The sequence below is a fragment of the Homo sapiens genome, chromosome 9 (genome assembly GCF_000001405.40).
Source record: "Homo sapiens chromosome 9, GRCh38.p14 Primary Assembly".
NCBI classification, from domain to species: Eukaryota; Metazoa; Chordata; class Mammalia; order Primates; family Hominidae; genus Homo; species Homo sapiens.
Window position 1 is genome coordinate 120,518,650 of NC_000009.12, and position 13,311 is coordinate 120,531,960.

Here is a 13,311-nt window from a genome sequence, read left to right on the forward strand (position 1 = left end):
AAGAGAAGGCAGAGAAGCAAGATGAGCTAATTTTCATACCTCATGAAACAAACCAAGAAACCTGGGCTCTTTTTCGCCGTGGGGGAAAAAAAGAAAAGAAAAAGATTAACATAGACAACATTCAGAAACCAAAGCAAAAATAATAGGAAGATTTTGGAATAACATAAGATAATGTTTCTTATGATGTGGATGGTTGTATGAAAGAAGTATTTTCTTAAAGGACCAGAAAAAAAGCACAAATTCTCAGCTGGGCACAGTGGCTCACACCTGTAATCCCAGCACTTTGGGAGGCTGAGGCAGATGGATCATGAGGTCAGGAGTTCAAGACTAGCCTGGCCAACACGGTGAAACCCCGTCTCTACTAAAAATACAAAAATTAGCCAGGCGTGGAGGTGGGTGCCTGTAGTCCCAGCTACTCGGGAAGGCTGAGGCAGAGAACTGCATGAACCCGGAGGCGGAGGTTGCAGTGAGCCGAGATCGTACCACTGCACTCCAGCCTGGGTGACAGAGCGAGACTCCGTCTCAAAAAAAAAAAAAGAAAAAAAGAAAAAAGAAAGAAAAGCACAAATTTTCACAGTAACTGTCTTTAGTTGGGTGGGACTATAGTTACTTTTTTTTGTCATAACTCTGTATTTTCAAATGTTCTAAGGTAAGTGAGCATGTTACTTTAATAATGGTTTAAAAAACAATTTAAGTCATTTTTGAATGGTAGAAAATGAAGACCTTCATTTGAAAATGTGAAAGTTGTCAGAATCAGAATGGACTCATTTGTCTTTAAAAAAATAAAAATAAAACCAAAACAAAACAACCTTGACAAATAGATTCGGGTATATGAAGACAGATTACTCAGGCATAAATGCCTCAGAACAAAAACTATCACAAAAGACTCTGTAAAAACCACAACCTTGCACAAAGGCCACCGCAATCCTACACAAAAAATACTTCCACAAGGACATCTGCCCAGCAACTGCCCATCCAACCTACGACTGGTGTCATCCTTGTTATTGATACTTGCAGCCAAGGACAAGTATCTCAATACTGTTATGTAATTCTCATTTTTCTTTAAAAATCTTTGTCTTCCTTAACCTCCCTGAATATGCACATAGCTATGGCACATGTATTCCCACTGCCATGTCCTAGTCCTGAATAAGTATCATTTTCTTTTTGAGAGATTCTCTCTGTTATTTAGGTTGACAAAAAGTAGAGATATATCTAAGCACTTACAATGTTCATCCACATCAGAATGGCTCAAACCCAGATTCATTTGGAGAAAAAAAAAAAAGGTGGTCAGCATGCTAGTTCAATGGCCAGCCTGAGAGACTGTAATTTCAGCAAAGTCCATGGGCAAAATAAGTCAAGAATATGTGGTATTTCGTTAATACACAGTTAACTAAAGAAAATACATATGATTATCAAATATATACACATCTGTGAAATGGGAAGTAATGGCCTCTATTTTTTAAATTATTATTTTTTCCTTCTTTTTTTCTGAAAGCTGGTTTACCAGCATTCTACTAAAAATAGCATATATACAGAAAGGTACACAAATCATCAGTGTATAGCTCAACAAATGTTCACAAACTGAATACACTCATATCAAGAAACACATCCTTCGTCAGGCACAGTGGCTCGCTGCCTGTAATCCCAACACTTTGGGAGGAATGGTCTCTATTTTCATATGGTCATTGTGAAGATTAAATATGATACTCAGGCTGGGCGTGATGGCTCACTCCTGTAATCCCAGCACTTTGGGAGGCTGAAGTGGGTGGATCACCTGAAGTCAGGAGTTCAAGACCAGGCTGACCAATATGGTGAAACCCCCATCTCTACCAAAAATACAAAAATTATCCGGGCATGGTGGCATGTGCCTGTAGTCCCAGCTACCCAGGAGCCTGAGACAGGAGAATTGCTTGAACCCAGGAGGCAGAGGTTGCAGTAAGCCAAGATTGCGCCACTGCACTCCAGTCTGGACGACAGAGCAAGACTCTGTCTCAAAAAATATATATATATCTCTCTCTCATATATCACATATCATATGAGATATATCACACGATACATCTCATATATCATGATATATCATATATGTATCATGTGATATCTCATATCTCATGAGATATATCTCAGATATCTCATGAGATATATCTCATATATCTCATGAGATATATCTCATATATATCTCATATGAGCTGTATCTCATATATATCTCATATGAGCTATATCTCATATATATCTCATATGAACTGTATCTCATATATCATATATCTCATATGAGCTGTATCTCATATATCATATATCTCATATGAGCTGTATCTCATGTATCATATGAGATATATCATGAGATGTATCTCATATATATCATATGATACATAAAGTGCCATTTCAGTGGGTACAACATAAATAAATCTAGCTCTACTTTTCCTTTACCTACTCCATTATCTTTCATTCCCAATCAAAAAATAACAGAGGTTCCACAAACCAAAAGCTATATACAATAACACTATTAACCAAGAATTTGAAAAACAGACCAAAGTACTCTGTTTTTGTCCAAATACCACCTAATTTAAGGGTGAGCTAACAACACTTACTGTGCCCAGGTACACTTTCTTATTTAAACCTTGGGTGATTATCTAGATTTTGCAACGCACAAACAGGCTGGAAGAGCTCAAATATCTTGCCCAAGGTTACAGTTAGTGATATGGTTTGGCTGTGTCCCCACCCCAATCTCATCCTGAATTGTAGCTCCCAAAATCCCCACATGTCATGGGAGGGACCGGGTGGGAGGTAACTGAATCATGGGGGCAGGTTTTTCCCATGCTGTTCTCATGACAGTGAATAAGTCTCACAAGTTCTGATGGTCTTATAAAGGGCAGTTCCCCTGCACATGCTCTCTTGCCTGTGTCATGTAACATGCGTCTTTGCTCCTCCTTTGCCTTCCGCCATGATTGTGAGGCCTCCCCAGCCATAAAGAATTGTGAGTCCATTAAACCTCTTTTTCTTTTTTTTTTTTTTTTTTTTTGAGACAGTCTCGCTCTGTTGCCCAGGCTGGAGTGCAGTGGCGCGATCTCGGCTCACTGCAAGCTCCGCCTCCCGGGTTCACACCATTCTCCTGCCTCAGCCTCCCGAGTAGCTGGGACTACAGGCGCCCACCACCACACCTGGCTAATTTTTTGTATTTTTAGTAGATACTGGGTTTCGCCATGTTAGCCAGAATGGTCTCGATCTCCTGACCTCGTGATCCACCTGCCTCGGCCTCCCAAAGTGCTGGGATTACAGGCACGAGCCACCGCACCTGGCCTAAACCTTTTTCTTTGTAAATTCCCAGTCTCGGGTATGTCTTTATTAGCAGCATGAGAATGTACTAATACAGTTAACAAGAGCAGAGTCAAGATTCAAATCCATGTCCCACTCCATGTTCTTCCCAGTAAAAATAATATGTTACCTCCATATAATGGACTATACTCAGTTGTTTAAAAAGATTGAGCAGCACAGAGCTAAATATGCACACACCCCCATACATAAACAAATAAATGCATGTCAACTGCTAAAAATCTGAATAAGGTCAAAGGACTGCACTGATGTCAATGACCTGGCAGTGATATTACATCACAATTATGCAAGATGTTACCTTTGGGACAACTGGGTAAAGAATATAAAGGATGTATATGTAAATCCACAATTATCTCAAAATAAAAATTAAAATATAAAAGACTTGGTAGGTCTACATATACTGCCATGGCAAGAATGTTAAATCTTAAAAAATGGTCATGGAACAAAATACATATTATGATCCTATTTAATTTTTTAAAGTATATATGTATATATGCATAAATATGCATTACAGTCAAGGTACAGAGTCAAGGCAAGAGGTGAGTTTACTGATGATTTCTATCAACCTCTCACTACTACTTTAAGTACTTTATAAATTTCCTACAATGTGCATTTTTACTTTAATAGCTGGGAGGATGCCATTTCCAATTTGAAAGTTTTTTTTAAAATGAGTATGGAGGTAGCAGCAGCCAGCCCACACTATCACCTTCACAGTGAAACCAGTGATTAGAATTCACACCTCTGTGCTTCTGAACTTTGGCAATCACTTCAAGAGTTTAAATATCACCTGCTGTTGCTTCAGTGTCAGGCTTGATGCCAACCCTGTGAACACTGGCTATTTAACTCATGCTGCAATTGGCAAAAAGACCCCAATACATGGGGAAAAAATGCATTTACAAGTATCTGTGCACCATTCAAACTATGTATACCTCACAGTGAGATAGCCGATATAGGTGTATTGTGTGCATTTACTCACACACAATCAGAGGAGTGGAAAGAGCATAGGCTTTGAAGACAGACTTGAGTTCAAGTCCTGCAAAAACTCGCTGGTTTGTAAATCTGCTACCTCCTCGGGCAAGGATTAAATGAGGGTCCTCTGAAAAGCCAACCTGACATGTATAACCTGAAGAGTTACAACAGTTCCTGATCTCTGTGTGCTGCAAGATAAGAAACTTGACCAACACTGTACATTGTAAGACCTCAAAACTCATTCTTAAAGTCTTTTGACTAAGACTGGGGTTATTAAGTTAAATGTATATAATACATCTGGGTAACATTTAAATGTATAAGATTCCTTTCTTTCCTTTAAGACCCGTCATAACAAGTAAAATATCACAATGTTTATGCCGGTCTCTCTGGCTATCAGCAGCCAACAGATTTTTACCCAAGCAATGGAAAACATAATTTTCCTAAGAATTCAGCTTCTGAAGCTTGTTATTTTCTAGGCAAGGAAAAAGAGAAACAGTCTAAAGTGTAATCTTAGCTCCATTTCATCAACCACTGTCAAAACAGTAAGAGAAGGCAAGTCTGAGATTCCAAAAGCAAAGATTTGTCTATGTTCCTAGCGTACCATGATTTAAACCAAATTACTTCAATTATTCTTATTGTTAACTAAAGGCTCTGCAAAAGATAAGTCATGGGATATGAATCTTGGGAATCAAACAGTCTTAAATCAGATTTAACTTCTAACTTCTACGTTACAACCAAAAGCAACATCAGTGCAAGAGGTGGGAGGAGGAAGCTTTAGGCAGTATGGACTTACTTTGATGATAAAACTGTATTGATTTATTAAGTTATTTAGTGATAGGTATAAGCTGTATAAGAAAACTAGAAACATGATAAGAAACATGTTAAAATAATTTAAAACACGAAATTAAAATGAGGAAGAAAGAGGGGCTGACCATCAGGAGTCCTTGTAGTACAACATTGGGGGACGGAGGGAGGAGAAGGCAGGTCAAAAACATCAAGGTCTGGAAAAGAAACCTGGAGAGGAGCAGCTGGGACCAAAGCAGCCAGGTAAGGGAGATACGGGATGACAGTAAAAGCACAGTCTTTGGAGTCAGATTGGCTCTGGAGTCAAATCTTAGCTCTATTACTTACCAGTTTTGGGAACCTGTGCAAGCTACTAGAAACTTAACTTGGATTTCCTCAGCAGTTTAAAAAAAAGGATATTAATAGTACTTACTTCATAGAGCTGCTGTTCAGTTAACTGAGATAATCTATGGGGAGCACTTAGCAGGCCTTGGCACATAGTATGTGTTCAATAAATGTCTCTTGCTATTATTAGCAATTACCACACTAAAATTTTGGCTCTGCCACTTGCTAACTGTGTGACAGTGAATAAGCTACACATGCTCCTGAGCCTCAAAACCTCACAAATACGGCCGGGCGCAGTGGTTAACTCCTGTAATTCCAGCACTTTGGAAGGCCAAGGTGGGTGAATCACTTGAGGTTAGGAGTTCGAGACCAGCCTGGCCAACATGGTGAAACCCCGGCTCAAGTAAAAATACAAAAATTAGCCAGGCGTGGTGGTGGGCTGTAATGCCAGCTACTCAGGATGCTGATGCAGGAAAATTGCCTGAACCCAGGAGGCGGAGGTTGCAGTGAGCAGAGATTGCATCACTGCACTCAAGCCTCAGCGACAGAGGGGGACTCTGTCTTAAAAAAAAAAAAAAATTTAAAAACACAAGAGGGATGATGACTACCTTTCCCACAGGCTGGTGAAGATTAAATGAGATAATCCACATATCTTGCATTATTACTTAGCACAGAGCACACTCAGCACTCCTAACTGTGGAGGTATTTATCATTATCATATTGAGGAGGGGGCTGGAAAAGCTCCCAAATCTGGTAGAGAATTTCCCTTTAATTAGACTAGCAAATTCTATCACTGAAGACCACCCACAGTTTTCCTTATTAAAATCACCCAAGTTCTTTCAGCTGCAAAGTCCTCACCTCACCAGGGGTCAGGATCAAAGAGACAGCCACTTAAGCCAAGTGTACACTTACCTGAAATTCCTGGGTCTGTGCTTTCTGTAGGGCCTCTCTGGCTTTAGCAAAGGCAGCACTGAGCTTTTCAATTTCAGAGTTAAGTTCTTCAACCTGGGGAAAAATAATGAATACCAGCCAAGTATGTAACTGGGCTCTCCTCTCTGCACAGCCCACATGCTTTTCCTGCTCAATTGTGTCGTGCTTATAATCAAGGGCTTTGTAGTCAGAAGAGATTCGAGTGGGATTTCCAGTTTAGCCGTTTACTAGCTGGATGACTTCAGGCAAGGTACTTAACATCTTTGAGACTCCATTTCCTCAACTGTAAAATGAGGATACCACCGCTCACCCAGCTATTGTGTTGTTAAGGTTAAATGAGGTAATGTGCATCAGTGCTAAAATAATGCCTTGGTCATACTGTTACAATTATTACTGTCCATATAGATGACCTACCCAACACCTAGCCTGGGTATTCCCCAAATTCCTCAGCCTCCAGTGACTTTCTCCTATACCCCGGAGTTGGCCATGAACAACCATGGCCACACCCTGGACTTTGCCAGCACCCAGAGCAGCTCTGACACCAGTGTCCTGACACACTGAAGGGCTCCGATCTCGGTTGGACCTAGAACTCCCCCACATGTGATACAATGTTGACTTTTTTTTTTTCCTTTGAGACGGGGTCTTGCTCTGTCACCCAGGCTAGAGTGCAGTGGCTGATAACAGCTCACTGCAGCCTCAACTCCCCACGCTCAAGCAAGCCTCCCACCTCAGCCTCCCAAGTAGCTGGGACCACAGGCGCACGCCACCATATCCAGCTACTTTTTTGTATTTTTATTAGAGACACACTCTCACCTTGTTGCCCAGGCTGGTCTCAAATTCCTGGCCTCAAGCGATCCTCCGACCTCAGCCTCCCAAAGTGTTGGGATAAAAGGCGTAAGCCACCATGCCCAAAGTGACTACTATCACTAGGAGGCAAATCTCTGCTGCATCTGACAGTGGTGATCATTCAAACTCCTTAGCAACACCCCCAGTTTCCTCGTTAGTGTCCTACTTCTGCAACTATTCCTTCTGTCCCCTTTGTGCATTCCTCTCCTTATCCCTGAAATTCTGATGTCCTCTGCAGTCCCATCATCAACCTTCTTCTTTCCCATTCTATACTCTCCTTAGATAAGTAGGTCAACTCTCAGACTCTTAACTCACACCTATAAACAGGGAGTCCTAGATTGACCTCTTCAGGACTGAGCTCTCTCCAAACTTTAGGCATGCATGTCATCTGCCTCCTGGACATCTCATCTGGATGGTCCACGGGCTCCTCAAAGTCACCACTTTTTAAACAGATTCATCACATCTACCACTGTCCCAGATCTTGCCATCAACCTCCACTATCCACGCTTTGAACTGAGTCAGTGGCACCACCATACCTCTAGTCATGCAAGCCAGACACCTAGAAGTCTTCCTTCACTATGCTTCTCTGAAGTCCTACATCTAATCCTCAAATTTTCCCAACCTTATTTCTAATTACTTTGAACCTTATTTCTTAAATAAGCCCCTCCCCCTCCATTCCTACTTGCTGTGCCCACTGCTCTAATTCACCCTTTCTTGGCTCTCACTGAGGCTACTGGTCTCCCAGCCTCCATTCTCTCCCTCCTGCAATTCACTCTCCAGATAGAGCCAGAGACCTCTCCAAAATGAAAATATGCTTAAGAGTTTTCAGTGTCCTTAAGTGCCACTTAAGCAGCTCAATATGATTAGTTTCCCCAACCCCCACCGGCTGGCCACTTGAAGAAGCTTCACCTTCTTCTCTCGCCTCCTTTAAGTTTTACACTTTGTGCTCTGACAACTCCAAACTGTCTGTGGTGCATATGGGGTCTCTCCTAACTAAACACCTTGACCAATGTTCTCCCTTTGTCCATAATGGCATCCCCGTCCCTGCCTTCCTTCCCAACTAACTCCTACTTATCCTTTCAGATGCAGCTCAGGCACCTTCTCCTCTAAGCACTGCACCCCACATGCAATATCCACACCTAATCTGGATCAGGTCCCCTTCCCTCTGCCTCCCCAGCTCCCTACACTTCCCTCAATCACAACCCTCAACACTCTTTCTTCCCCAATAGACTTGCAAGCAGAGCTGGGTTTTCTTCTCTGTCTGTTCCTTGCATAGCTACTAGGACACAATAGGTTGCCATAGTAAGGACAAGAAAACAGCACAGAACCATCAGCTACCACCTTGGATCACAAAGGCAACCATCAGCTACCACCTTGGATTACAAACGCAACACTCAGGCAGCTCTTTAACTGGCTCACAGTCATGGCCTTGCTTCCCAAAACTCCTTTATCTCAATTTTCTGTTATCCTTCAAAAGATTAGACCTGCATTGTCCAATGCGGCAGTCACTACCCACATGTGGCTCTTGGCATGTGAAATGTGGTTAGCCTGAATTGAGGTGTGCTGTAAACACATCTGAACTTCAAATGCTTAGTTCTGAAAAAAAAAAGTGTTGACTATCTCAATATTTTTACTGATTATATGATGAAATGATTATGTTTTGGGGGGGGATATATATATAATTAAAATTAATTTCACTTGTTTCTTTTTACTTCTTTTAATGTGGCCACTAGAAAGTTTTAAATCACATAGGTAACCCATATGATATTTCTATTGGACAGCACTGGATTAGACACTCCAAAAGAATTTCCGGTTGACTAGAGGATCATTTCCCCACTTTCTATACTACCTCAGCTCTCTTATAAACTTTTTATCTGAAGCTAAAAATTCAGGGTAGGACAGGCCAGTCATAGAAGCTAATAAAGAAAAATCTTACTTCAAGTGTATCAGACATACCTTTTTTTCCTTTGATTTTAATGCCATGGTTAAACCCTGAATGGCTTTATCCCTCTTTAGACTATTTTTCTTCTCTGTAGCAATTTCTCTTTCCTTCTCTCTCAGGTCCTCTTCAAGTGCCTAAATTAGATTAGAAAAAGATTCACTAAGTTGATGCGTTCCAACCAAAATGCACCATAAATATATCTTTAAGAGCACACTCAAATGCAGTTATTCTATCTTATTCCTGTCAACCTGTGATTAATGTTTCCAAGTGGAGCTGAACATAGTGCCATCAGCTCCAAGTTACTGTGTTACCGCTCCCGGCAACAGGGCTGGGTGAAGGGGAAGGGGATCAAATCAGTTGAGACGATGACAGCTATTCCTATGGGAAGGATTCCAATGCCTTATGGAATTTGAATACAGTCAGTCAGAGTCTTTGAAACCATACCAGGTTATTTGGGAGAAATAACAGATCATTAATTTCATTCCTTCTCATGGAGACTGAACTATACATTTATAGTCTGAGTTCATTCTAAAGATAATCATCACCACCTCTCTTCCGGGCTGTTGTGAGGATCAAACAGGATAATGGATGTGAAAGCACTTTCTAAGCTGGCAGGCACCACACAAATGCCTCCTGCTGTGACAGAGGAACCATGGCACATGGGCAGGTCCAAATCTTTGCTCTATCTCTTCCTAGCTATGTGCTCTTAGGCAAGTGACCTCACCTCTCTGGGCCTCAGGTACCACATCTGTAAAATGGGAATGCCTACTTCACAGAGTTATTGCAAAGATTAAGAAACCCTTTCTAGAGTACCTTATGCTTGACTGGCATACAGTAGCATTCAATGAGTGACAGCTACTGTGACACAGAATTATCTGCTGCACTCAGAATAAAACAAGAGGCAAGAATAGGCTAAATCTTCAATACATTTTTTAAAATTGTATCAACATACCTGGATCCTCTCTTCAAAGCTGTTTCTCTCCTTCTGATGCTCCATTTGTGCAGCCTAAGAAAAGGCATTAATTGGTGTGAAGAAGGGACGTGCAATCCAACAGCTTCTCCAGAACAATTAGAATGAGCACGTCCTTGTCGCTTACTCACCTTCCCCCACTACTGTGGAACTCGTTAAAACAAGTGTCCCCTCCCTCTCTCCACCCCACCCAAAGCCCTGCCTGATTTGAATGAAGAAAAATGTGAAGACAACAACCTACCCTGGTTGATCACCAGCCCCACAGAGAGTAAACCACAGTGCTGCTTAACAAGACAAAGGCCTACTAGAGGGCCGTGTGGCGGAAGTGGGCAAGAGAGTTAAGAGGAGGGACAGGAGACAACTGTGGATTACAGATGAAAACGAACTGGCAAGGCCACAGCATCCACTGCTGTGGTAGGAGCACAGGCCCTGCTCCATGAAGAAACCAAGACTTTCTGTGAACAACCAGAACATCCCCAATGTGAACATACGACATGCAGCAGCTACTCCAACAAGAATGGAAGGCCTGGACTAAGACCTACCTGCACTTCCCTGGCCTGCCCAACCTCTTCAAAAGAGCTTGCTGGGGAGGCCGCCTAGGGCGGGGGCAGGAGTCCAGGGAGGCTTTGGGGTCAGCTACTAGCAACCCATCTCTTGGAACCTGGAAAAATGTAACAATTCCTCTGAGCCTGAGCCCGTTTCTAAACGTGACAAGGAGACCATGAGCTCTACCTTGCCAGGTGGCTGGGAGGATTGAACGAGATGGTATACTGAACCCCTCCCATACTGCTAAGCCCGATACGAGTTAGTCCTCTTCCCACCCTACCTCTCAAGTTGCAGACCAAAGTTGGCCTCACACCTACTTCTAACCAAAAAGGCAAGATGGAAAACAATGCACCACAACTGTATCCTAAGAAAACCCAAAGGATGAAAATAAAGTCCCCAGGTAACAACAAATCAACACATGGTAAAACAGAGGTAAGCAGGTAGGGACTGGTTTTCTTTAAGCAACTCTTTATAGGAACAGGAGACTAAGAAGGAAAAAGAATGCCAGGGCCCCTGACAAAGGCAGTTTCTGCTCACTCCTCAGCTGACAGGGGACTCATATTTAGAAGCAGGCTGTGTGTGAACCATGAGGACCGAATGCGCATTCCATCTCCCACAGAGGAGTCTGGTTGGCTAATTAAAGCCCCCTCTTCATGTCCTGTCACCTCACCTCAGTTTCTCTCTCCTTTTCTTCCCTTGGAGCAGCACAAAGTCCTCGGAGCTCTCCAGATGACACATTCTCATCAGGACATGCCATCTGAGATTTCTCCTCTTTAAGGCACTGAATTAAAGCTTCTTTGCTCTTCAAAGACAGCTTCAACTCCTCAATCAGTCTAAAAGAGAACAAAATTTAAATATTAATTCTAAGCTGTTCTCTTAGCTCAGTGGAGCTGGAGGAGGAAGGAAATGGGGCCAGATATCTTCAAAGTAGACATATACAATGGCTGAACACAAACAGAATCACATTTTGCAGGTAGGAGATTAAGCGTCAGAATTCGTGTGACATTAACTGGTCCCCTGCCTGCCTCCAGCCTGGCTCCAGTCAATTCAACTCTGAGCTTCTGGACTCTAGCCAAGCTGTGCTCCTGTTCAAATACCTTCAACGGTCCCCACCAACAGCAGTGGACTACTAATTTCTTTGGCCAAGAAATCCTCTCTCCAAAAGATATGTCACTGAAACCTAAGCAAACAAAACCAATGAAGCAGAGCTGTTCCGATAAGTGTGGAAAAAACGGAATGTCTTGCCAAGACTTCTCAGGGCAAAGTTTAAAAACACTGACTTTCAAGATAAAACCAACCCAAATATCCAACAATGACACACTGGATTAAGAAAATGTGGCACATATACACCATGGAATACTATGCAGCCATAAAAAAGGATGAATTCATGTCCTTTGTAGGGACATGGATGAAGCTGGAAACCATCATTCTCAGCAAACTATCACAAGGACAGAAAACCAAACACTGCGTGTTCTCACTCATAGGTGGGAATTGAACAATGAGAACACTTGGACACAGGAAGGGGAACATCACACACCAGGGCCTGTTGTGGGGTGGGGGGAGGGGGGAGGGATAGCATTAGGAGATATACCTAATGTAAATGACAAGTTAATGGGTGCAGCACACCAACATGGCACATGTATACATATGTAACAAACCTGCATGTTGTGCACATGTACCCTAAAACAAAGTATAATTTTTAAAAAAAAGGAAAAAATAAAAAAATAAAAAACGGTGAAACTCCTTCCCAGGCATTCCAGGTCCTAGGTCTTAGGGCCTACCAGATCAGAGGGCCCTGCCGACAGCTTCAGTCTCATCTCTCACGGGAAACCATCACCCTCTCCATCTCCACTCAGTAGCCTCACTTTCAGTTCTCTCCCGAAGCCAGACTGTTTCATGCCTCTACACCTTTGCTCGTGCTATTCCTTCTACCTAAAATGCCCTTCCCCACCCTACCCCCGCCTCACCCCCACCTCTACCTGACAAACACCCATTCATCCTGCCAAAGCTAATTAAGCTCCCCTCCAGGAAGCTTTGCTACCTGCACCCCTAGTGCCCCACTCAGGAACAGCTGAACACATCCCTCTCTGGGCTGTGTTATCAAATAACACAATATAATTACCAAATTATCCCATATCAACTGCCCCTTGGCCATGGCAAGTAATTCCATCTCTCTGAGCCTGTGCCTCCTCAGCTACAAAATAGGGGTGACTTGTGATTGTGGACCAGAGACAAGCTATTTAAAACAATCTTGCACTGCTCCTGGAATATGGTGGAACTCAACAAATGACAGTTGTTATAATTATTACTTTTTTTTTTTAACATGTAACAATTAGCATTTTGTCAGAAGACCCTCAGAATAGCCTTTCTGCAGCTAAACCAAGAAAGCAACTTAGTTTGGGAGAAAGAAGAAAGATTTTGCAGTCAGACAGAGCTGCCCTAGTGAAGCACAGCTTCCTGGGATGAAGGTAAAGAGGGAGACAAAGGTAACTAAAGCACCTAGCAATGCACTAGGAGACAAGGTGCCAGGCAGCACCAGTGCAATGCCCCAGAAAACCTGGAAAGAGGTGTAAGATTGCCCTCTAGGGGCTCAACTTTGAAATCGTCACATAATCAATGGGAGAGGTAGTCACCGAACTATATACACTTAAAA

The 13,311-nt window shown here is 42.4% G+C and overlaps 1 protein-coding gene across 18 annotated transcripts in view; it reads right to left on the reverse strand.

Annotated features, from left to right (window-relative positions):
• CDK5RAP2 (CDK5 regulatory subunit associated protein 2) overlaps nt 1-13,311 on the reverse strand; it is a 191,293-nt gene that overhangs the window by 129,775 nt on the left and 48,207 nt on the right. For 17 of the 18 annotated variants that reach the window (NR_073558.2, NR_073556.2, NR_073554.2 and 14 more), the window contains exons 8-11: nt 11,329-11,491; nt 10,095-10,148; nt 9,157-9,276; nt 6,337-6,429 (exon numbers count right to left, since the gene is read on the reverse strand). Coding sequence is in view for 13 of the 18 variants with exons in the window: in NM_001272039.2 (NP_001258968.1) it covers nt 6,337-6,429; nt 9,157-9,276; nt 10,095-10,148; nt 11,329-11,491 (430 nt within the window). In the remaining 5 variants the exon portion in view is untranslated. The remainder of the gene's footprint in view (nt 1-6,336; nt 6,430-9,156; nt 9,277-10,094; nt 10,149-11,328; nt 11,492-13,311) is intronic. The other variant, XM_047423590.1, reaches the window with a different exon arrangement.